Here is a 22,536-nt window from a genome sequence, read left to right on the forward strand (position 1 = left end):
GACTACCAAAAATATAATGTTTTTTGCCTAGCTTCTTAGGTTGAAAAGGAGATTTGGGTGAATTTGCTGGTATGACATATCAGTAAGAAATTACTAAGGAGTCTAGGCCGGGGCCCGGTGGCTCACTCCTGTAATCCCAGCATTTTGGGAGGCTTAGGCAGGCAGATCACGAGGTCAGGAGATTGAGACCATCCTGGGCAACATGGTGAAACCCCGTCTCTGCTAAGAAAATACAAAAATTAGCCGGGCGTGGTGGTGCGTGCCTGTAGCCCCAGGTACTCGGGAGGCTGAGGCAGGAGAATCACTTGAACCCAGGAGGCGGAGGTTGCAGTGAGCCAAGATCACACCACTGCACTCCAGCCCGGGCAACAGAACGAGACTCCGTCTCAAAAAAAGAAATTACTAAGGAGTCTAAAATGAATTCAGGAGGCAAAATGAACCCACTTTTCTTTAGTTGAAAGGTATGGAGAATTGGCTTGCTTAATCAGTATGTTTGTGCAATAAAAATCATATAAATACCTTTGCCTTTAAATGTACTGTTAACTGAAAATTCTTCCTTTTTATGTTTTAATAGGCTCGGAATCTGAGGTGGTAAGTCCAGAGTTTTCATTCTTCATGTTTTTATTTACTTAGGTTAAATTTCAAGTACCCAATATATTTGAGACAGGACTCAGGATGAGCTCTCTGTCAGCTAAATATTAAGCAATTCCATTTAAGTACTGGTTCCTCTAGGAACTGAAATAAAGCCATTTTTTCATAAATATGGAAGTTTCTAGTCATGAAATTTATTGGGCTATTTTAATGAATTTATCGTGTGGTTAAAATCGATTTCGTATGTTTTAGTATGGTCAAAATGATTATTTATCTGTTCCTTACTAAAACCTTATTACATTTATTTAGGTCCAACAGTTTGAATCACTTGTAGGGCTTTTTATGATAGGCTAAGACAAAAGTTAAGGAAAATTGGAAATGTTTATCTTTAATTCAGTGTAATGTTTATTGTTTTGGGCATGAAGACCTTCAAGTCTTTTCAGTTATTAAAAATTATGGTGGAATTGAATAAAAGTAACTTTTAATTTTATTTTTTTTAAAAGACAGTGTCTTGCTCTGTTACACAGGCTGGAGTGCAGTGGTGCCATCATAGCTCACTGCAGCCTGAAACTCCTGGGCTCAAGTAGTTTTCCTACCTCAGCCTCCCAAGTAGCTGGGACTACAGGTGCATGTCACCCCACCAAGCCCGCTAATATATTCTATTTCTTTAAAAAGCTTTTTAGGCTGAGTGCAGATTTTTATGCCTGTAATCCCAGCACTTTGGGAGGCTAAGGCATGTGGATCGGTTGAGGTCAGGAGTTCAAGACCAGCCTGACCAACATAGTGAAACCCTGTCTCTACTAAAAATACAAAAATGAGCCAGGTGTGGTGGTAGGCGCCTGTAATCCCAGCTACTCAGGAAGCTGAGGTGGGAGAACCCCTGGAGCCCAGGAGGTGGAGGTTGCGGTGACCCAAAATCATGCCACTGCACTGCAGTCTGGATGACAGAGTGAGACTCCGTCTAAAAAAAAAAAAAAAGGACAAACTACCATAAAGATGAATCTGCTTTTTTGTTTTGTTTTGTTTTTTAATTAAGCTAAATATTATGTTACTTCATTATGAGGGAACAATGAAAAATTACAGTTTAAGTTTTAGATTCCTTTATATTTTCAAAAAGAAATAAAGCTATACAATAGAATTAATATTCGGAGAATATTTAACTATCACTCAAAGCATGTAGATAATAACCAGGCGTGGTGGCTCACACCTGTAATACCACCACTTTTGGAGGCCGAGTTGGGCAGATCACCTGAGGTCAGGAGTTATACACCAGCCTGGCCAACATGGCGAAACCCTATCTCTACTAAAAATACAAAAATTAGCTGGTCGTGTTGGCATGCGCCTGTAATCCCGCTACTCTGGAGGCTGCAGCAGAAGAATCACTTGAGCCTGGGAGATGGAGGTTGCAGTGAGCTGAGATCACGCCACTGCACTCCAGCCTGGGTGGCAGAGTGAGACTCTGCCTCAGTTAAAAAAAAAATGTAGATAATAGTGTAATTTAGTAAGAAAAGTACTGAACTGAAAATCAAGAAATCTGACTCTGGATCTTTGCTAGCCCTGAGAATTTACTCTAGGCACAAAATGACTATGACTAAATTTTTAGTACCTTTGAAAGGAGGTCCGTGGACCAAATGAGCTCTGGAGTCCTTTCAGCTGTAAAATTATATGAAGGTATAATGATAAATGAGTTCAGGCGAATAAATGATATAGGTAGGCTTTTTCCATTACTACTCCTTTTTTATGTTTAATTAATTAATTAATTAATTTTTGAGACAGAGACTCTCTCTGTTGCCCCGGCTGGAGTGCAGTGGTACAACCCCAGCTCACCGCAACCTCCGCCTCCTGGGTTCAAGTGATTCTCCTGCCTCGGCCTTCTGAGTAGCTGGGACTACAGTTGCCTGCCACCATGCCCGGCTGATTTTTATATTTTTAACAGAGATGGGATTTCACCATTGTTGGCCAAGCTGGTCTCGAACTTCTGACCTTAAGTGATCTACCCGCCTTGGCCTCCCAAAGTGCTGGGATTGCAGGTGTGGGCCACAGTGCCTGGCCACTACTCCTTTTTTATACAAAGTTCTGCAGCATACTGTTACTATTTATTAAGTTGAAGTTCTAAGGACATGTGAAATTTCCTATCGTGGAATAGGATCAGGGTTGGCCTGTGTCATGAAGAATGGTAACTAGACCTGTAGAAAGGAGACAGGTTCAGAGGGTTGGAGAAGGAAGTGCAAAGTGAAGTAGTTTTTTTGCATCTAGCTAAAAAGGATCTGCCTATTTATTTATTTAAAGATTGTGAAGAACAGAGCTGGTTAATTATGAGGCAGATTTATGAAATAGCTGCTTGGGACAATAGAAAGTGAGAAAAGGGATGAAATCTTACCAAGTTTTTTTTTTGGAGACAGAGTTTCGCTCTTGTTGCCCAGGCTGGAGTGCAGCGGCATGATCTCAGATCACTGCAACCTCCACCTCCTGGGTTCAAGCAATTCTCCCGCCTCAGCCTCCTGAGTAGCTAGGGTTATAGGCACACGCCACCATGCCTGGCTAATTTTTGTATTTTTAGTAGAAACGGGGGTTTCACCATGTTGGCCAGCCTGGTCTCGAATTCCTGACCTCAGGTGATCCACCCACTTCAGCCTCCAAAAGTGCTGAGATTACAGACGTGAGCCACCATGCCCGGCCCTTATCAGGATTTTGGTCTGTTTCTGGTCATATCCACATGGTGTAGAATTTGTTTAATAAAATAATTTTGAGTAACCAAGCACAAAACTCTAGGTAGATTTGAAAGGGAGATATTTCCAAAAATTATGAATTTGATTTTTTTGGTGTATGTCTATCAAGAGATTGGTAATGCGTGTCCATTTGAAGTAATTTAAATTGAGTGTGAATAAATGATAATGAGCTTGCATTACTGAGCCATCTCATACACTGGTGGAAGAATAGCATGTGTGGTAAATACACAGATCTGTGTGGCTAGAGTTGAGGATGTAATTAAGCACTCTCATCTCTCATTCTTTTTTCTGTTTTGAATCTTGCATTTGTTTATTTTAACCATTCTTCAGTCCTACTTACTATGTTCTCAGTTTGCCTTTCTTCCCCTTTCTTCTTTAAATGCTAAGCAACTACTTTTCTTCCTTGTATAGTAGTTTATGAATACATTTCATATCCCTCATTCCTATGTAAGTCTTTGAGGTTAAGAAGCGTGTCTTATTTGCATGTTTGTATGTGCCTCAGTTAGGGTTCCCAGATAAAGTACAGCATGCTCAATTAAGTTTGTATTTCTGATGAACAATGAATTATTTATTTATTTATTTGAGACAGAGTCTCACTCTGTCACCCAGGCTGGAGTGCAGTGGCCCAATTTCGGCTCACTGCAACCTCTGCCTCTCTGGTTCAAGCGATTCTCCTTTCTCAGCCTCCTGAGTAACTGGGATTACAGGCATGAGCCACCACACATGGCTAATTTTTGTATTTTTAGTAGAGAGGGGGTTTCACTATGTTGGCCAGGCTGGATTCGAACTCCTGACCTCAAGTGATTCACCCACTTCGGCCTCCCATATGTTGGGATTATGGGCGTGAGCCACTGCACCTGGCCTATTTTTTATTATATAAGTGTGTTCTGTGTTGTATTTTTGTTTGCTAAACTTGGCAGCCCTTGCCATGTGTATTGCACAGTGGGTGCTTAGTTCAGTGAATCAATCAAAATTGGGTTCTAGTTTTAGTCCTGTGGTACTGGCAGAGTATTTTTATTCTTAGTTTTGCAGGTGAAAAAAAAATCTGAGGTTAATGGACTCTAAATCTTTCCCTAAGTTTACCTAGTTAACTAAATTGCTCAGCCTGGCCCAGGAGACATACATACACTTGACTCCCAAGCAAACTAGTACACCTTTGCTTAGTTTTTTTCCTAAGTTTTGAATTGAAGAACTTAGATTCTAAGGATTTGTTCTAAAGGATGATTATTTTTCTTGTCCTGTCCCTGGAATCTCCATATTTTATACATATATATTATATATTGTATATATAATATACATTTTATGTATATTATATATTGTATATATAATATACATTTTATGTATATTATATATTGTATATATAATATACATTTTATGTATATTATATGTTGTATATATAATATACATTTTATGTATATTATATGTTGTATATATAATATACATTTTATGTATATTATATGTTGTATATATAATATACATTTTATGTATATTATATGTTGTATATATAATATACATTTTATGTATATTATATGTTGTATATATAATATACATTTTATGTATATTATATGTTGTATATATAATATACATTTTATGTATATTATATGTTGTATATACAATATACATTTTATGTATATTATATGTTGTATATACAATATACATTTTATGTATGTTGTATATACAATATACATTTTATGTATGTTGTATATACAATATACATTTTATGTATGTTGTATATATTTATGTATATTGTATATTGTATATATTTATGTATATTGTATATTGTATATATTTATGTATATTGTATATTGTATATATTTATGTATATAATATATTATATATAATATATTATATATATTATATATTATATATATTTTGTATATATAATATATTATATATATTTTATATGTAATATATATTTATATATTATATATTTTATATATATTTATTATATATAATATATATTTTTATATATTATATTTTATATATATTATATATTTTTATATATTATATTTTATATATATTATATATTATATATGTAATATAATATATATTATATATATATTTTATATATATATATACACACACACACAAACATAATCTTGTTAGATTACTAACTCTAAAAACTATTTGGGGGAAAACAAACTGAAAGAAGTTTTCTTAATTATGTCTTAAGGGAAATAAATGATAAAAATCTTTCAATTTCCTTTTTTATACAGTAGAGGGAGACAGTATTAGAATACTGAAAATAAAATCTGAGGCTTACTTTGTGGACACTAAGAGAGAACAGTACTAAAATAATTTGCTCTTCATATATTCAGATATCTTGATTGTGTTTCACTGTTTGGATATCTTGGACCTTTGTGAATTAAGAAAAGATGCATTTTGCTGGGGAGAATCTGCTTAGTATTAGAGCTTCTGTAAAATTTGCAGCTTAAAAGAGTGATTTCTGTGCTTTTGAGAATTCTCTTTTCTTTCCCACCTTCAAGGTTGAATGAATGTTGCATGTCCATGTGTAGTCAGTCGGTGGTTGAATGTTATTAATTTGAATGATATATAATTTGCGATGAAAGTAAGAAGAGAAAGAGGTAAAACCCTGAAATTAATGAAATAGCATTTCTTAACTATTTTACAATATAATATCTAATATGTTTTTTCCAAGCCAGGATTCATGTTTTTTCAGTATCTCTGATAGTTATTTCTACCTTTCGCTGAATATCACCTTTCATGTTAGCCTATTAATTTTTTAGAAATTAAGAAACTATAATTTTTTATTTCATCTTGTTAATTTAATGACACTCTTCTCTGATCACAGTCTCAGAATTGTGACTTTAGTGTCACCTATATTGTGAAATATTCATTTTAAATATTAGGTTTTATTTTTTTGAGATAGAGTCTTGCTCTGTTGCCCAGGTGGAGTGCAGTGGCAGCATGATCTCGACTCACTGCAACCTCCGCCTGCTGGGTTCAAGCAATTCTCTTGCCTTAGCCTCCTGAGTAGCTGGGACTAAGGTACACACCACCATGCCCGGCTAATTTTTTGTATTTTTAGTAGAGACGGGCAGGCTGGTCTCGAACTCCTGACCTCATGATCTGCCCGCCTCAGCCTCCCAAAATGCTGGGATTACAGGCATGAGCCACCACACCTGACATTAATTTTTATTCCCTTTAAGAATTAGAATTCTCAGTCTTTTGGGGTGAATTTGCCCTTGTGGAAATGTTGTTTTATTCCTATTTTTAGTCAGAATAATTTTTCTGTATTAAACAATACAAAATGTGAAAGCCTGGAATTGTGGGAATTAAAAATGTATGTCTTAGAAGCAAAATAGCCTCCTTTTCTTTTACTAAAATTTGTGAAGTTTTAAAGTAATCCCTTTTTTTAATGTTCAGAGAAGAATATATGTATGTTAAAGAATCCTAGTGATAATGTAATGGAATGGGGTATCTGGGCATGATGCTCCTGCTTGTCTGAATACATATATATGGGAATTTTAAAAATTGTTGTTTTAACATCTTGCTTCATATAGTGGTGGTGATAATAGTGAGAATTGTTTAATTTTTTTAATTGAGTTAGTTAAGAATCCACAAATCATAGATCTTAGAATGTATTCTTGTTACTTTTGATATATTTTGTAACATATATTTATATATTTTTAAAGAATACTTTTACTCTACATAATTTTTAAACAGCTATACATTGTCAATATTTTTATCATGTCCTTACATATTCAACAGCAAAGTATTTCATCGTATGCATGTACTGTACCTTATTTAGCCAGCTCCATTTTGTTTGTCCTGTGGATAATTATAATAGCTGTTTTGACTGTTTTACCACATTGCAGGCACTGTACTGTGTATTATCTCATGTAATTCTCATAGTTACTGCATGGTGTAGGTATTTTTATCCCCAGTTTACAGGTAGAGAAACTGAGCTCAGAGATGTTAAATAATTTGTCCAGGTTTTTCGGATTATACTGATGAAGATACTGATAACTAGCATTCTGTTGTCAGTTATTTGCCAGACAGGGTTCTTCATTTTTCTTATACATAGTATCATTTATTCTTGAGAACCCTGAATGAGTTATTCTTGAGAACCTAAATAAGTTAGGGCCTACTAAGTCATTTGCAATACAATACAATAGGAGAAACTGAGGCTCGCTGAGATTAAGTTGCTTGCTTATGGTTATACATCCAACAAATGGCACCTATTTCCAAGTTTTTCTGTTTACACAACTGATTGTTTTTGTCCCAACCCCTGCTTATTTCTGAGGAAATAAGTAAAAATTCTAGCTGAAAAAGACATTTCCAGCAAATTATTTCATATTTTGTCTTCCTCCTCTCTGAAATATGGATAACAGTCTTTTTTTTTTAATAGGGTGATTTTATTAAGTGAGATAATGCATGTGTGAAGCATGTAGCACACAGGGTATTATATAAAAGTCAATAAATGTTACTAGTACTATTTCTATTATTTTATTTTGGTTATTTAGATTTTTATTCAGGCTGTAAAAGCAGTAAATGCATATTATAACATATCACAGAAAATCTGGAAAAGATAAAGGAGCTTAGGAAGTAATCACTCAGACTCACGACTGATGACATTTTAGCCTGTTTCCCTCGGGATAACTCATTATTTCCTGATACATAGGTCGATCACTACACATGACACGTACTGGAATCTTTTTACTTATGGGAATGTCTCTTCTGATTAACTACTTTAAGAAGAAAAGAGGCTGTGTCCTCATGTACCAGCACTGTTTCTAGCTCAGAGTGGGTACTCAGCAAATATTTGAAATGAGCTGTTAGAAGCTTGAGAGAAGACTTTTCAGGTCTTCGCCATTCGTTGCCATTTTTTGCATTTAAAAAATGATTATAAAAAGATTTTAGTTTAAAAACAAAGAAGGTAGATGTACTAGTTTGAGCTCAGGAAGACTGAGCTATTATCAGACAAAGGAATTTGATGTAACAATGAAACGTGCAAAGAGCTCAGTAAGAGTATGTTGGGAAGGTTGCATTCTGAAGATCGGGGAACAATTATTTAATGAGTACAGTCTTGAAGTATATGTTTCTCAAAAGTTTGCCAATAAATTGCCCCAGCTCTTTAGTCTCTGGGAAAGATCTCTTCATGTTAGTCAGTAGTGGTAAGTGGAATCTTCCCACTTAAGATGGTGGTGTCTGGATATCATGATTGTGTAAGAGTAATGACATCTCTTTAATTTTGAAGTTTCTTTCATTGGAAAAAATTAAACTCTGTGCTATGCAGAGGAGACTTTAGAGGTGGATGGATGGTAATACGTATAATGTTGAGAACTAATGATCCAGCACAGTAGGGATTCTTATTGATAACCCGTGAATACTCTTTTGGGATATTAACACCTCGAGAACTTTCCCGGTACATATGAGAGCAACATTCAAGCAAACTACCAAAGTTTTAAGTTAACTTTTAAAGTATTTTTGACTTAAATGAAAATGGAATGGTTTCTTAATGGTTGCAATAAAAACCTCTGAAATTGGACTAGTGCTAGTTCTAGAACTATCTCCCAGAATCAAGACTTAAAACTTCATTTTTAAAAACATTGAAACATTTGAAAGTGCAAGCATTGAAAGTGAATTAAGTGTAAAAAGGAATTCATAGAAAATTAGCGCCTCCCTTCTTTTCCTTTGCTGGGGGAGACAGGGTCTTACTCTGTTGCCTATGCTGGAGTCCAGTGGCACTATCATGGCTCACTGCAGTCTCAACTACCTGGGCTCAAGTGATCCTTCCACTTCAGCTTCCCAAAGTGCCAGGATTACAAGCGTGAGCCACTGCACCCAGCCCCCTTTACCTTTCTAAAAAAGATGCTTTAAGTGCTTTATTACATGCAGCTATTTTGGTGAATGATTAAGTATAATTTCAAAAGTGGAGATCAGCTTGTCTCAGCTGAAACGGGTCGTTACTAAGAGCTTTTCCTTTGGCTTTATAAAGGCCTCTTTGTTTATGCTGCACACTTACTCAGGTTATGATGGCTGTCAGTAGATGTGAATACTAGTCTGTGCTGCTTTTCAGGTGAAACAAGGAACTTTTTATAGATGATGTGTACATAGTTACAGGAACATGAAGTGTGAATATAGGGTGCCCTGTGGCCAAGTTTAGTGTGTTGATGAACACAGTACTTTCCAGGCCCTCATTTTTCAGATGAGTTGAAAATTAAAGGTGCAAGATGCAGTTTTAATCTTTCAGATAATATTAACAGTTCTTTTCAGTAACTGTTGCTGTGTCATTGCCAGCTACTGAATTTCTGTCTCCTTTTGATAAATATCCCAGCCTTAAAGTAACCAGAGTACTATCACTTAATCCTGTGTATGAGAAATTATTGATGGTATATTACTTTATAGAAAAACTAGCTGGGCGCAGTGGCTCACGCTGGTAATCCTAGCTACTTGGGAGGCTGAGACAGGAGAATCACTTGAACCCGGGAGGCAGAGGTTGCAGTGAGCCAAGATCACACCACTGCACTCCAGCCTGGGTGACAGAGACTCTGTCTCAAAAAAAAATCATAGTTTACTTTAGGGAATTCTAGAGATTCTTATGAAATATTTGTTTTTATGTATGTAGAGTTTAAACATGTAAATTACACTAAAGATACTATACTCTGCCCTTATCCCAGTGACATGGTTTTATATTTTTCTTGTTATGAAAACAGTTGTTTATTACATTTCTTTGCTCCTAAAGAAAATAAAAATAAACACTTGAGACCACATACCCCACATACACATACCATCACTTGATGTCTGATTAAAAATGTTGGCAACTTTCCCTATGTTAGCACTTTGTTAGGGTATTTTAGGTGCAAATTTTGAAGGTCTTTTTGCTAAAAGTAGATGGTATAAAGATTACTAGGAATTGCTAGTTTAAATGAGTCATCTGATAAAAAGAAGTCAAAGAACCTAGTGGTGAATGGGCTTCTCTTTTTGTTAAGTTTGCCTTTTGATTTTTTAATTCTGTTTGCAAAAGTAATGATCCTTTTCATAGAAAAAAGTTAGAATATAACATTCTAACTCAATTCTTCATTTAAACTGTTTTATATAATGTTATGGTGCTTACTTTAATATTTGCGTTAAAAATGCTGATTTTAGCCAGTTAAAAATAGAGGTGAGAGCATTATTTGAATAAAGAAAACAAAAGGTAGATATAAATACTATGTGAGTGTGTGTTTAGGGGTAAGGATAGACTCAGGGGACTAGCCTTGATTAGAGAGTAAAAGATGCTATTAGGATACTATTAATTTTTCATTTTAATAAGTGAACTTAGTCTAGCATTCAGAAGTTCTTAACAGTCTGCCTTCTGCTTCTTTTTCTTTTTCTTTCTTTCTTTTTTTTTTTTTCTGAGACGGAGTTTTGCTCTTGTTGCCCAGGCTGGAGTGCAGTGGTGCGATCTTGGCTCACTGCAACCTCCGCCTCCCAGGTCTCAGCCTCCTGAGTAGCTGGGATTACAGGCATGCACCACTATGCCCAGGTAATTTTGTATTTTTAGTAGAGACAGGGTTTCTCTATGATGGTCAGGCTGGTCTCAAACTCCTGACCTCAGGTGATCTGCCCACCTCGGCCTCCCAAAGTGCTGGGGTTACAGGTGTGAGCCACTGCGCCCGACTCTGCTTCTTTTTTTATCGTATTTTTCACTGCTCTGATTTTTTTTCAAGTCAAGTCCTGAACTTGATGCAAATTGGTCTTCTCCATACTCCCCTATGTGGTGTCCTTGCATACCCCAGTGCTCCAGTTAGGCCATTCCCTGTGCCTCTTGCAAATGCTTTTGCCCTCCAAAGCCCTTCAGGGTGTATAAAGCCTTTCCTCTTCACAGTCAGGTGTGGTCTCTCCTGAGCTTTTAGCACATTTATTTATTTAGAACTTTAGTAACTTTCTTAAAGTATCTCACATACTTCCAAATGGTCGAAGATGTGTCTTTAATATTTTAAAAATCCAGCCAGGTGTGGTGGCTCATGCCTATAATCCTAGCACTTTGGGAGGCCGAGGTGGGAGAATGGCTTGAGGCCAGGAGTTTCAGACCAGTGTGGGCAACATAGTGAGACCCCGTCTCTATAAAAAATAAAAAAATATTAGCTAGGAGTGGTGGCATATGTCTATAGTCCCAGCTACTCGGGAAGCTGAGACCGGAGAATCACTTGAGCCCAGAAGTTCAACGCTGCAGAGAGCTGTGATCCTTCCACTGCACTCCAGCCTGGGAGACAGAGCAAGCCCCTTTCTCTACAAATAAAATAAAAATCCCCACCGTCTTGAGGACTATACCATCTTATACTAGGTGTTTAGTAATTATTTGTTGAATGAATGAATGCAAAAATGTTAGCATTAGTTGTATTATGTTTATACAGTGAAACGTTTCTCCACTGTAAAACAGGTGAATGCACATGTAAACACAGTAATTGTTTTAGAATCGGATTTCTTAATAGTGGCATTATTGACATTTTGGGGGATTGCCCTGTATATTGTAGGATGTTTAGTAGCAACTGTGGTCTCTACTCACTAGACTTCATTACCACATCTCCCTTCAACTCCAGTTGTGGCAACTCACAATGTCTCCAGACACTGCCATGTATCTTTTTGGGTGTTTCAGAGAAGCTGAATAAAAGTGGGTCTCTCCATATTAACTAAATGATAATGATTAACATCTGTGTGGTACTTTGACTGCGTATAAAGTGCTTTCACATATATCACTGATTCATTAATTTGTTAAGCATTTATTGAGCTCTGCTACGTGCTGTACGCCTCTACTGGACACCAGAGTATAATATACTGGTGAAGTGCTCCTTGAACTTGAGGCATCATAAAAAATGTGACTTCCCAAGAAAAGCCTTCTCCCACTTTGTTAAGTCACTCTGCCCTTCTTACTGTCTAGCGCCACACTCTGTCTCCTTTGCGATATTTTCTGTTCTGCTCTCCTTAAGGGTAGGTGTCATGTCAGTTTCTGTCACCTCTGTCAGGTCTTGAATGCAAGACCTAGTGTATTGCTAGGCCCAAAACAGGCACTCATAAAAGCAGTTGAGTTGGTGGAAGAATGGATGAAAGCAACATGCTCATAGGAAAGAGACAGGCCAAGATTCATTGCTACACAATATGATGGGTACCAAGGCAGAGAAGTGGGTTGAGGGCATTGTGTTAGTCTGTTTTGAGTTGCTATAACAGAATACCACAGACTGGGTAATTTATAAAGAAAAGGAATTTGTTTCCTCACAGTCCTGGAAGTTAGGAAGTCCAAGATGAAGGCACTGGCAGGTTCATTTATCTGGTGAGGGTCTAGTCTCTCTGCTTCCAAGATGGGGCCTTGACTGTTGCATCCTTGAGGAGTTGGGGAAGAATGCTGTGTCCTCATATAACAGAAGGCAGAAGAACAAAAAGGGATGAACTCCCTCTTTCAAGCCCTTTTATAAGGGCACCTAATCCCATTCACAAGATAGGAGCCCTCGTGGCCTAATCACCTTTTAAAGGCCCCACCTCTTAATACTATCACATTAGCAACAATTAGTTTTGGAGGAGGCACATTCAAACCATAGCAGGTATAAAAGACAAGCATTTAATCAGACTGTTTGTCAGTTGATAATTTTTCCTTCTTTCCTGGAGACCTGTCTATGAGTGGCTGGGAGACCTGTTTAATTCTGAGGTATAGAATTAAGATGGCCATCTGCCTGCAAGTAGAGATAAGCTGCATTCTCCCAAATCAACTTTGTTTATAATAAAAGGAATGTTCTGGTCTCCATATGCCATACTCTTTATTGTCAATTTCTTAAACAGTTCACAACTTGGTTAGAGAAGAGGCAGGCTATCTATTGCCCCATCGTCAACCTTTTTTTTTTTTTTTTTTAAAACTAAATACCTAATCGCTATATTGTTATTCTTTTGTCTGTTAGTGCTCTCCTTAACACGTATAAAAATAGACCAAACTGACATGATCATATTTTAGAAAAATGCTATTTTCTTTTTTTTTAAAAAGGAAACAGAAAAAAAGATAGATGGCTTAAATTGTCTACTTATCATAACATAGAATTAGAAATCCCAGTCTTCGTGGCTGCCAAAAAAAAAAAAAAAAAAGGAATGGCCACAAAATGAAATCAAATAAAAGTCTTTCATTGCTCTTTTCCTATGACTGTTAATATGAAGAAACTTAATAGTTCTGAAAATAAAGATGTAAATTGCTGCAGAATATAAAACAGGATAAAGTCACAATAGCCAAAATGTGGAAGGAACCCAAATGTTCATCCATGGATGAATGGATAAACAACATGACGTATATATGTACAATGGAATATGATTCAGCCTTAAAAAAAGTGCAATTCTTACATATGCTACAACATAGATGAACCTTGAGGACATTATACTAAGTGAAATAAGCAGGTCACGGAAGGACAAATACATGATTCCACTCATGTGAGGTAGCTAGAATAGGCAAATTCGTAGAGAGAGAAAGTAGTTTCCAGGGGCTGGGGATAGGGAAGAATAGAGAATTAGTGTTTAATTGGTATAGACTTTCTGTTTGGGATGATTCTTTTAAAAGTTCAGGGTATGGATAGTTGCGATGGCTACATAACAATGTGAATGTACTTCACACCACAGAGTTGCACAATTAAACATGGTTAAGATGGTACATTTTTGTGTATTTTACCATAAGAAAAAAAATTTAGGGCTGGTCAAGGCAGCTTACATCTGTAATCCCAACACATTGAGAGGCCAAGGTGGGAGGATCGCTTGAGCCCAGGAGTTTGAGACCAACCTGGGCAACATAGTGAGACCCCATCTCTAAAAAAAAATAATAACAATAAAAAATTAGCCAGACCTGGTGGTGTGTGCCTATAGTCCCAGCTACTCAGGAGGCTGAGGCAGTAGGATCACTTGACCCCATGAGTTCAAGGCTGCAGTGATCTGTGATCATGCCACTGCACTCCAGCCTGGACGACAGAGTGAGAACTTGCCTCGAAAAAAAAATTAGTGTGATAAAGCGCAGACCATGTATATAATGAAGATACTTCAACCATTTGAAGGAGTGTTCTGTTCTCAAGCCAAATAGAGAACCACATACTATCCCAGAAAAAGGCACAGTTAGCAAAGGATCCAGGGAAGCTGGAAGGGCTGGTGTTTTGTGGCTGAGGTCAGTAGAGATGACTGCTCTGTTCATGGAATCCCATGGGTACTTATCTTCATCTTCTTAGCCACCAGTGACAGGGTACTGCTTGACAGACTGACCCTGTGGTGTGAATATCACATACATTATCATTGAATTTTTGAAACACCTTATAAAGTAGACATTCGCATTTATAGGAATTTAATACCTTTCTGAAATTTGCGAAGTAAGTGGTGCAGTCAACACTTAAACCCTAGATCAGCAGACTCCAAAATTGAGGTACTTTCCTCAGTATATCCCAAGAATGGCTTTAAGAAGAATTATATGGATAATCTGGAGTAAAAGGAACAAGAATTTCTTCATTTAGGTCAGTGAGATATGCTGACAAGATGACCACAAATGCAGGAATGTTGGAGTGGTAATTAATATTTAAATGAGAAATCATTAGAGTTTAAAGAGTGGAATACCAATGCAAGTTTCTGGTGCTACTTCAGTAGGGCTCTTTGGAACTGATTGAAGGGGAAAAAATTAAAGCCAGAAAGCTCAGTGGAGCAGATGTCATAGTGGCCACAGTGAAACAAAGATTTTCAAAATGAGATGCTAAGTGAGAAACAACAACTGGGGAGAGAAGTAATTTCTCCAGGGTCACAATGGGCATAAGGAGAATTGTTCTTTTAGACTCTAGGTGAGATCGTAGTAATCCAGGGATTGGTGATGTAGGCCACTGAGTTCTGGCTTTGAGGACATCTCTAATCCCTAAACCTTCACTAAGAGGGAGGTGAAGGGAGTCAGGTGTGCCACATGTCTGGCTACTGAAAAATGCCTAGATGGGAAAGGAGTTTGAAATATCATCCTAAAATGAAGTTTCTGAGTTAAGTTGGCCAGATTTCACCATGTGTTTGCTGTTATTACTGTGTAAAATCAAGAGATTTAAATGAGATTAAGATCTTTAATTAGCTTTCTGAGATATTGAAACGTAAGAACCTGGCCAGGCACAGTGGCTCACACCTGTAATCTCAGCACTTTGGGAGGCTGAGGCAGGCAGATCACCTGAGGTCAGGAGTTCAAGACCAGCCTGGCTAAATGGTGAAACTCTGTCTCTACCAAAAATACAAAAATTAGCCAGGCGTGGTGGTGCATGCCTGTAATCCCGGCTACTTGGAAGGCTGAGGCAGGAGAATCGCTTGAACCCGGGAGGCGGAGGTTGCAGTGAGCCAAGATTGTGCCACTGCACTCCAGTCTGGGTGATAGAGTGAGACTGTGTCTCAAAAAGAAAAAAAAGAAAAGAAAACTAAGAACCCAATGACCTCTGCTGCATACATTGCCTGACTTTGGTTAATATGGTGACATACTGAGCCCCAAACTGGCATATGTAACCTCTGGTCACTTCTATACCAAAGCTATTAGCCTCACTTCGCAATGAAGGCCAAGCTAAGAAGAGTCAGGAATTATGAAGCACAAAGCATAGAATGTCAAAACTGAGAAAGAAAAATATCTGTTTTCCTAATGCTTTCATTTTATAGGTGTGGAAAATTGAGGACCAGGGAGAGTACCTTGCCAGCAATTTTGTAGTTACGGTTTTAGATGAAGAGCTGCACAGTGTTAGGGAAAATTCTGAATGGTATTCAAGTCCTCCAGCCAGCAGCAGCAGAATGTGGTTTTTAGTGTGCCCTATGCAAGTAGTGCTTCAGATGGAGCTTATTCTTATTTTTAAGTTATTTTATTTTTTATTTGATTAATTCATTTATTTTTATATATTTTAACAGATTTAGTGACATAAAATTATATATGGTGTACAATTTGATGGTTGATATACACATGCATTGTGAAATGATCATCACAGTCAAGCTAATTAGCCTATTATCACCTCTTCATAGTTACTATTTTGTGCATGCGTGTGTATTTATTTTATTTCTGAAATAATTTTAGACTGACAGAAAAGTTGCAGAAATAGTACAGAGTTCACATATATCTACCACTTTGCTTCCCTGTTGTTAAAAACTTATGTAACTATAGTTCAATAATCAAAATGAGGAAATTAACTTTGATACAATACTATGAATTGAACTACAGCCCTTTGATTTTCACCATCTCCTCCCATCCCCTACCATGCCTTTTTAATGTTCCAGGATATAATCTAAGATCCCACGTTGTATTCGTTTCTATGTCCCCTCAGTTTCCTCCAATCTGTGACAGTTGCTCCATATTTCCTTGTCTTTCATGGACTCTTGATGAGTACTGGTCAGCTGTTTTTTAGAATGATCCTCAGTTTGGGTTTGTCCATGTTTTCCTCATGATTAGACTAAGGTGATGGGTTTGGGGGAAGAAGATCACAAGGTGAAATGCTCTTGTTATTTCCTATCGGGTACAGGATGCCAACGTGGCTTATTAGTGATATTTACCACGATCACTTGGTTAAGGTGGCATCTCCCAGGTTTCTTTTCTCCCTCTGTAAATGATAAACATCTTGGAGAGATGCTTTGAGACTGTGGTAGCATCCTGTTTCTTCTCAAACTTTTGGCTGCTGATTTTCGCTTTCGTTGGTGGATCTTGTCAACAGTTACTAATGTGGTATTCAAGTGGGGATTTTGTATTTTACTCATTCCTTCTACATTGATTAATTGGAATTTTGTAAGGAAGAAGTGTCTCTTCTCATACATTTATTTATGAATTATTTATTTATATCCATATGGATTTATGGGTATTTATTTTGTCCTATGAGATTGTGTTAGTTCTTGCCTTGCTATAAAGGAATACCTGACACTGGGTAATTCATAAAGAAAAGAGGGCTGGGCGTGGTGGCTCACTCCTGTAATCCCAGCACTTTGGGAGGCCAACGCAGGCCAATCACTTGAGGTCAGGAGTTCGAGACCAGCCTGGCTGAATAGTACTTGGTGTGTGTGTGTGTGTGTGTGTGTGTGTGTGTGTGTGTGTGTATGTGTATGTGTATGTATAGTCACCCAGGCTGGAGTGCAGTGGTGTGATCTCGGCTCGGTGCACTCTCTGCCTCTGGAGTTCAAGCAATTCTCCTGCATCAACCTCCCGAGTAACTGGGATTACAAACGTGTGCCACCACACCTGGCTAGTTTTTGTATTTGTAGTAGAGACAGGGTTTTACTATGTTGGCCAGGCTGGTCTCAAACTCCTGGCCTCCGGTAATCCACCCACCTCAGCCTCCCAAAGTGCTGGGATTACAGGCATGAGCCACTGCACCTGGCCAAGAAAGGCACTTTAGACAGTGCCTGAGTTGAGGATTTGACCTGTGACTCGCTGCAGTTGCCACACTGCAGTTGCCACACTGTGGCCTTAGAACAGTCTTATCCAGTCCTGAAAACCCCAGTGCCTTGGAAACATCAGGACTGGTCAGAAGGACAGTAAGTCCTCAAGGCACCAGCCCCTCCTCCTTCCCCAAGGTTGAGGGGTAAGTATTACAAACTCTCTGCAGGACCCATATCCTGGGTGTGGACACCCAGTCCTGCTAGGACCTTCTTTGAGAAGAGTTGATCTCAGCCATGAAACTGCCTGATGCCTTCAGCGAAGCAAGCAGGAAAGGCTCAAGTGATCCTCCTGTATCAGCCTCATGAGTAGCCAGTAGCTGGGACCACAAGCGGGCACTACCACAGCTGCCTAATTTTTTTTTTTGTAGAGACAGGTTTCATCATGTTGCTGTTCTGGAACTCCTGAACTCAAGTGATGTGCCTGCCTCAGTCTACCAAAGGGCTGGGATTACAGGCATGAGCCTGTATATACTGTGTGTATACATATATATATATACACAATAAGGGTATGAGTTTATAGATTCCTGTTCTCTGCAACTAGTGACTATGTTGCCCAGGCTGGTCTTGAATTCTTGAGCTCAAGCGATCCTACCGCCTTGGCCTCCCCAAGTGCTGGGATTACAGGCATGAATCACCAGACTCAGTCTAATTTTTGTATTTTTTTTGTAGAGATGGGGTTTTGCTATGTTGCCCAGGCTGGTCTCAAACTCCTGGACTCAAGCAGTCCACCTGCATCAGCCTCCCAAAGTGCTAGGATTACAGGCATGAGCCATAATGCCTGACCCTTTGCCCACTTTTAAATGGAATTATTATCATGTTTTACTGTTGAGGTATTTGAGTTCCTTGTGTATTCTGGATGTTAATTCCTTGTTGGATGAATAGTTTGCAAATATTTTCTCCCATTCAACAGGTTGTCTCTTCACTGTGTTGTTTCCTCTGATGTGCAGAAGCTTTTTAGTTTAATATAGTCCAATTTGTCTGCTTTTGTTTTTGTTGCCTGTGCGTTTGAAGTCTTAGCCATAAAATCTTTTCCTATACCAGTGTCCTTAAGTGCTTCCCCCTATGTTTTCTTCTAGTAGTTTTATGGTTTCAGGCCTTATGGTTAAGTCTTTAATCCATCTTGAGTTGATTTTTGTATATAGTGAAAGGTAGGAGGTTAGTCGCGTTCTTTTGTATGTGGATATCCAGTTTTCCCAGCACCATTTATTGAAGAGATGTCCTTTCCCCAGTGAATGTCCTTGACACCTTTGTTGAAAATCAATTGGCTGTAAATGTATGGATCTATTTCTGAGTTTTCTATCCTGTTTCATTTTATACCTGTTTTTATACCAATACCGTGATGTTTTGGTCACTAGAGCCTTGTAATATACGTTGGAGTTAGATAGTATAATGTCTCCAGCTTTCTTTCTACTTAGGATTGCTTTGGCTATTTGAGCTCTTTTTTCGTTCCATATGAATTTTAGGATCATTTTTTCTACTTCTGTGAAAAATGGCATTGGTATTTTGATAGATATTTTATTGAATCTGTAGATTGCTTTGGATTATATGGTCATTTTAATAATATTAATATTTTCTGATCCAGGAGCATGGATTTGATTTCCATTTCTTTATGTCCTCTTCAATTTCTTTCATCAGCGTTCTGTAGTTTTCCTTGTAGAGGTTTTTCACCTACTTGGTTAAATTTTTTTCCTAAGTATTTATTTTCTTGTAGCTATTATAAATGGGATTTCCTTCTTGAATTCTTTCTCAGCTAGTTATTACTGGTGTATAGAAATGCTACTAATTTTTGTATGTTGATTTTTTTATCCCACAACTTTTTTTTTTTTTTTTTTTTTGAGACAGAGTCTTGCTCTGTAGCCCAGGCTGGAGTGCAGTGGAGCAATCTTGGTTCACTGCAACCTCTGCCTGCTGGGTTCAAGTGCTTCTCCTGTCTCAGCCCCCTGAGTAGCTGGGACTACAAGTGCATGCCACCATGCCCGGCTAATTTTTGTGTTTTTAGTTGAGACGGGGTTTCACTGTATTGGTCAGGCTGGTCTTGAACTCCTGACCTTAGGTGATCCTCCCGCCTTGGCCTCCCTAAGTGCTGGGATTACAGGAATGAGCCACCACGCCTGGCCATATCCTACAACTTTACTGAACTTATTTATCAGATCTAAGAGCTTTTGCTGGAGTTGTCAGGTTTTTGTAGATACAAGATCATGTCATCTGCATAGAGGGACAATTTTACTTTCTCTTTTCCAATTTGGATGTCTTTTACTTGTTTCTATTGCCTGATTGCTCTGGCTAAGACTTCCAGTACTGTGTTGAATATGAGTGGCGAAAATAGACATCCTTGTCTTGTTCCAGTTCCTAGAGGAAAAGCTGAAAGCTGTGATAGTATGATGTTAACTGTGGGTTTGTCATATGTAGGCTTTGTTATGTCGAGGTATTATATACTCCTTCAATGCCTAGTTTGAGAGTTTTTATCATGAAGAGATTTTGAATTGTATCAAATGCTTTTTCTGCATCTCTTGAAATGATCTTATGGTTTTTGTCCTTCTTTCTGTTGATGTGATGTGTCATCTTTGTTGATTTGTGTATGTTGAACTACCTCTGCATTTTTGGGGCAAATCCCACTTGTGCACCTAGCCCGGGCACTCTGGCAGCCCAGAGGGAGCTCGTACCCCGATCAAGCCCAGCAGGCGCCGGCCTGCCGAGCCGAGTGCGGGGCCTGCCGAGCCTGCGCCCACCCGGAACCCGCACTGGCCTGCGAGCGCCCCGCGGGCAGCCCCGGCTCCCCTCCCCACCCCCCAACCCCCCGCCCCCACGCCTCTCCCTCCACACTTCCCCATGAGCAGAGGGAGCCGGCCCCCGCCTCGGCCAGCCCCAGAGAGAGGCCCCTACAGCACAGCGGCAGGCTGAAGGGCTCCTCGAGCACGGCCAGAGCAGACGCCGAAGCCGAGGAGGCACCAAGAGCAAGCGAGGGCTGCTAGCACATTGTCACCTCTCACAAGGATGTGTCACCATGCCCAGCTAAGTTCTGTATTTTTTTAGGCTGAGTTTCACCACATTGCCCAGGCTAGTTTCATACTTCTGAGCTCAAACAATCCACCTGCCTCAGCCTCTCAAAATGTTGGGATTACAGGCACGAGCCACTGTGCCTGGCAATGTTTTCTTTTTCATCTTGGATTTTGTTTACTTTGTTCATCTTTTTTTTTTCCTTGGTTAGTCTAGCTAACAGTTTATCGATTTTGTTTACCTTTTTTGTTTCATCGATTCTTTGTATTGTTTTCAAAATATATTTCATTTAGTTCTGCTCTGATCTTTATTATGTCTGTCATTCTACTAATTTGGGGTTTGTTTTGTTCTTGCTTTTCTAGTTCTTTGAGGTGTATCATTAGTTTGTTTATTTGAAATCTTTCTACTTTTAAAATATAGGTGTTTATTGCTATCAACTTCCCTCCTAGCAGTGCTTTTGTTGTATCCCATAGGTTTTGGTATGTTGCGTTTCAATTTTCATTTGTTTCAAGACATTTTATTTTTGGAGACACAGGGTGGAATGCAATGGCGCAATCTCAGCTCGCTGCAACCTCCCCCTCCTGGGCTCAAGCAGTCCTTCTACCTGAGCCTTCCTTGTAGCTGGCATTACAGGCACACACTAGCATGCCTGGCTAACTTTTGTATTTTTTTGTAGAGACAGAATCTCACTATGTTGCCCAGGCCAGTCTCAAACTCCTGGGCTCAAGCGATCCACCCTCTGTTTGGGGATCTCTGTGCTTCCTGTATCTGCATATCTAAATCTCTTGGTAGACTTGAAAAGTTTTATTACTTTGTTAAGTAGCTTTTCTATCCCCATGGTTTGCTCTTTGCCTTCTGGGACACTGAAAATTCAAATGTTTGGTTGCTTTATGGTGTCCCATATGTCATGTAGGCTTTGTTCATTCCTTTTTTCTTTTTTCTTTATTTTTGTCTGATGGGGTAATTTTAAAAGATCTGACTTCAAGTTCTGAAATTTATTATACTGCTTGATGTAGTCTGTTGTTGAAGCTTTTTTAAAAATGTTTATTCCACATTATTTCAGTCCTCACACATCTGCTGTGATCCATCTGACATGTAATCTGTTGGTTTTCCAGCAGTGATAATTTCTTTCTTTTTCTTTGCTTTTCTTTTTTTTTTTTTTTTTTTTTTTTTTTTTTTTTTTTTTTTTTTTGAGATGGAGTTTCACTCTTGTTGCCCAGGCTTGAGTGCAATGGCACGATGTTGGCTCACCGCAATCTCTGCCTCCTGGGTTCAAGCAGTTCTCCTGCCTCAGCCTCCCAAGTAGTGGGATTACAGGCATGCACCACCATGCCCGACTAATTTTGTATTTTTAGTAGAGACGGGGTTTCTCCATGTTGGTCATGCTGGTCTCGACCTCCCAACCTCAGGTGATCCACCCACCTTGGCCTCCCAAAGTGCTGGGATTGCAGGCGTGAGCCACCGCAACCCGCCTTTGATAATTTTATGTAAAACCCTAAATCCAATCTTAAATATTTTCTCTTCTCTTACTGATTGTCTTTACATCAATATTAGCCATTTTAATATACTGAGATATATTTTAGTTGGTTCATGACTGTGCCAGTAGCTCCATTTTTATATACAAATAGACATGCCTAAATCCAGTTTATTTTTTATATGCACATTTTATTTAATTCATTTTTAACTTTTTATTTTAGGTTCAAGGGTACATGTGCAGGTTTCTTATATATGGAAGTTGTGTGTCATGGGGGTGTGATGTACAGATTATTTTGTCACTCAGGCAATAAGCATAGTACCTGATAGGTAGTTTTTTGATACTCACCCTCCTCCCAACCTC

At 38.4% G+C, this 22,536-nt stretch overlaps 1 long non-coding RNA gene and 1 pseudogene across 4 annotated transcripts in view, besides 1 other annotated feature; both read left to right on the forward strand.

Moving 5' to 3' along the window:
- SUGT1P4-STRA6LP-CCDC180 (SUGT1P4-STRA6LP-CCDC180 readthrough) overlaps positions 1-22,536 on the forward strand; it is a 138,870-nt gene that overhangs the window by 12,541 nt on the left and 103,793 nt on the right. For all 3 annotated transcript variants that reach the window (NR_036528.1, NR_036527.1, NR_036529.1), the window contains exon 4: positions 575-591. This is a non-coding gene — a long non-coding RNA (SUGT1P4-STRA6LP-CCDC180 readthrough). The remainder of the gene's footprint in view (positions 1-574; positions 592-22,536) is intronic.
- The window catches only part of SUGT1P4-STRA6LP (SUGT1P4-STRA6LP readthrough), a 58,889-nt pseudogene that overhangs the window by 12,541 nt on the left and 23,812 nt on the right, over positions 1-22,536 (forward strand). Inside the window, exon 4 of the transcript NR_036526.1 lies at positions 575-591. The product of NR_036526.1 is annotated as an SUGT1P4-STRA6LP readthrough (transcript). The remainder of the gene's footprint in view (positions 1-574; positions 592-22,536) is intronic.
- Positions 20,401-20,901: an enhancer, noted in NCBI's record as "H3K27ac-H3K4me1 hESC enhancer chr9:100033649-100034149 (GRCh37/hg19 assembly coordinates)". NCBI's record gives its function as "activates a minimal SCP1, AML or CMV promoter by ChIP-STARR-seq in naive H9 embryonic stem cells {active_cell/tissue: H9 hESC(naive)}" and the evidence as "EXISTENCE:reporter gene assay evidence [ECO:0000049][PMID:30033119]".

The sequence above is a fragment of the Homo sapiens genome, chromosome 9 (genome assembly GCF_000001405.40).
Source record: "Homo sapiens chromosome 9, GRCh38.p14 Primary Assembly".
NCBI lineage: Eukaryota > Metazoa > Chordata > Mammalia > Primates > Hominidae > Homo > Homo sapiens.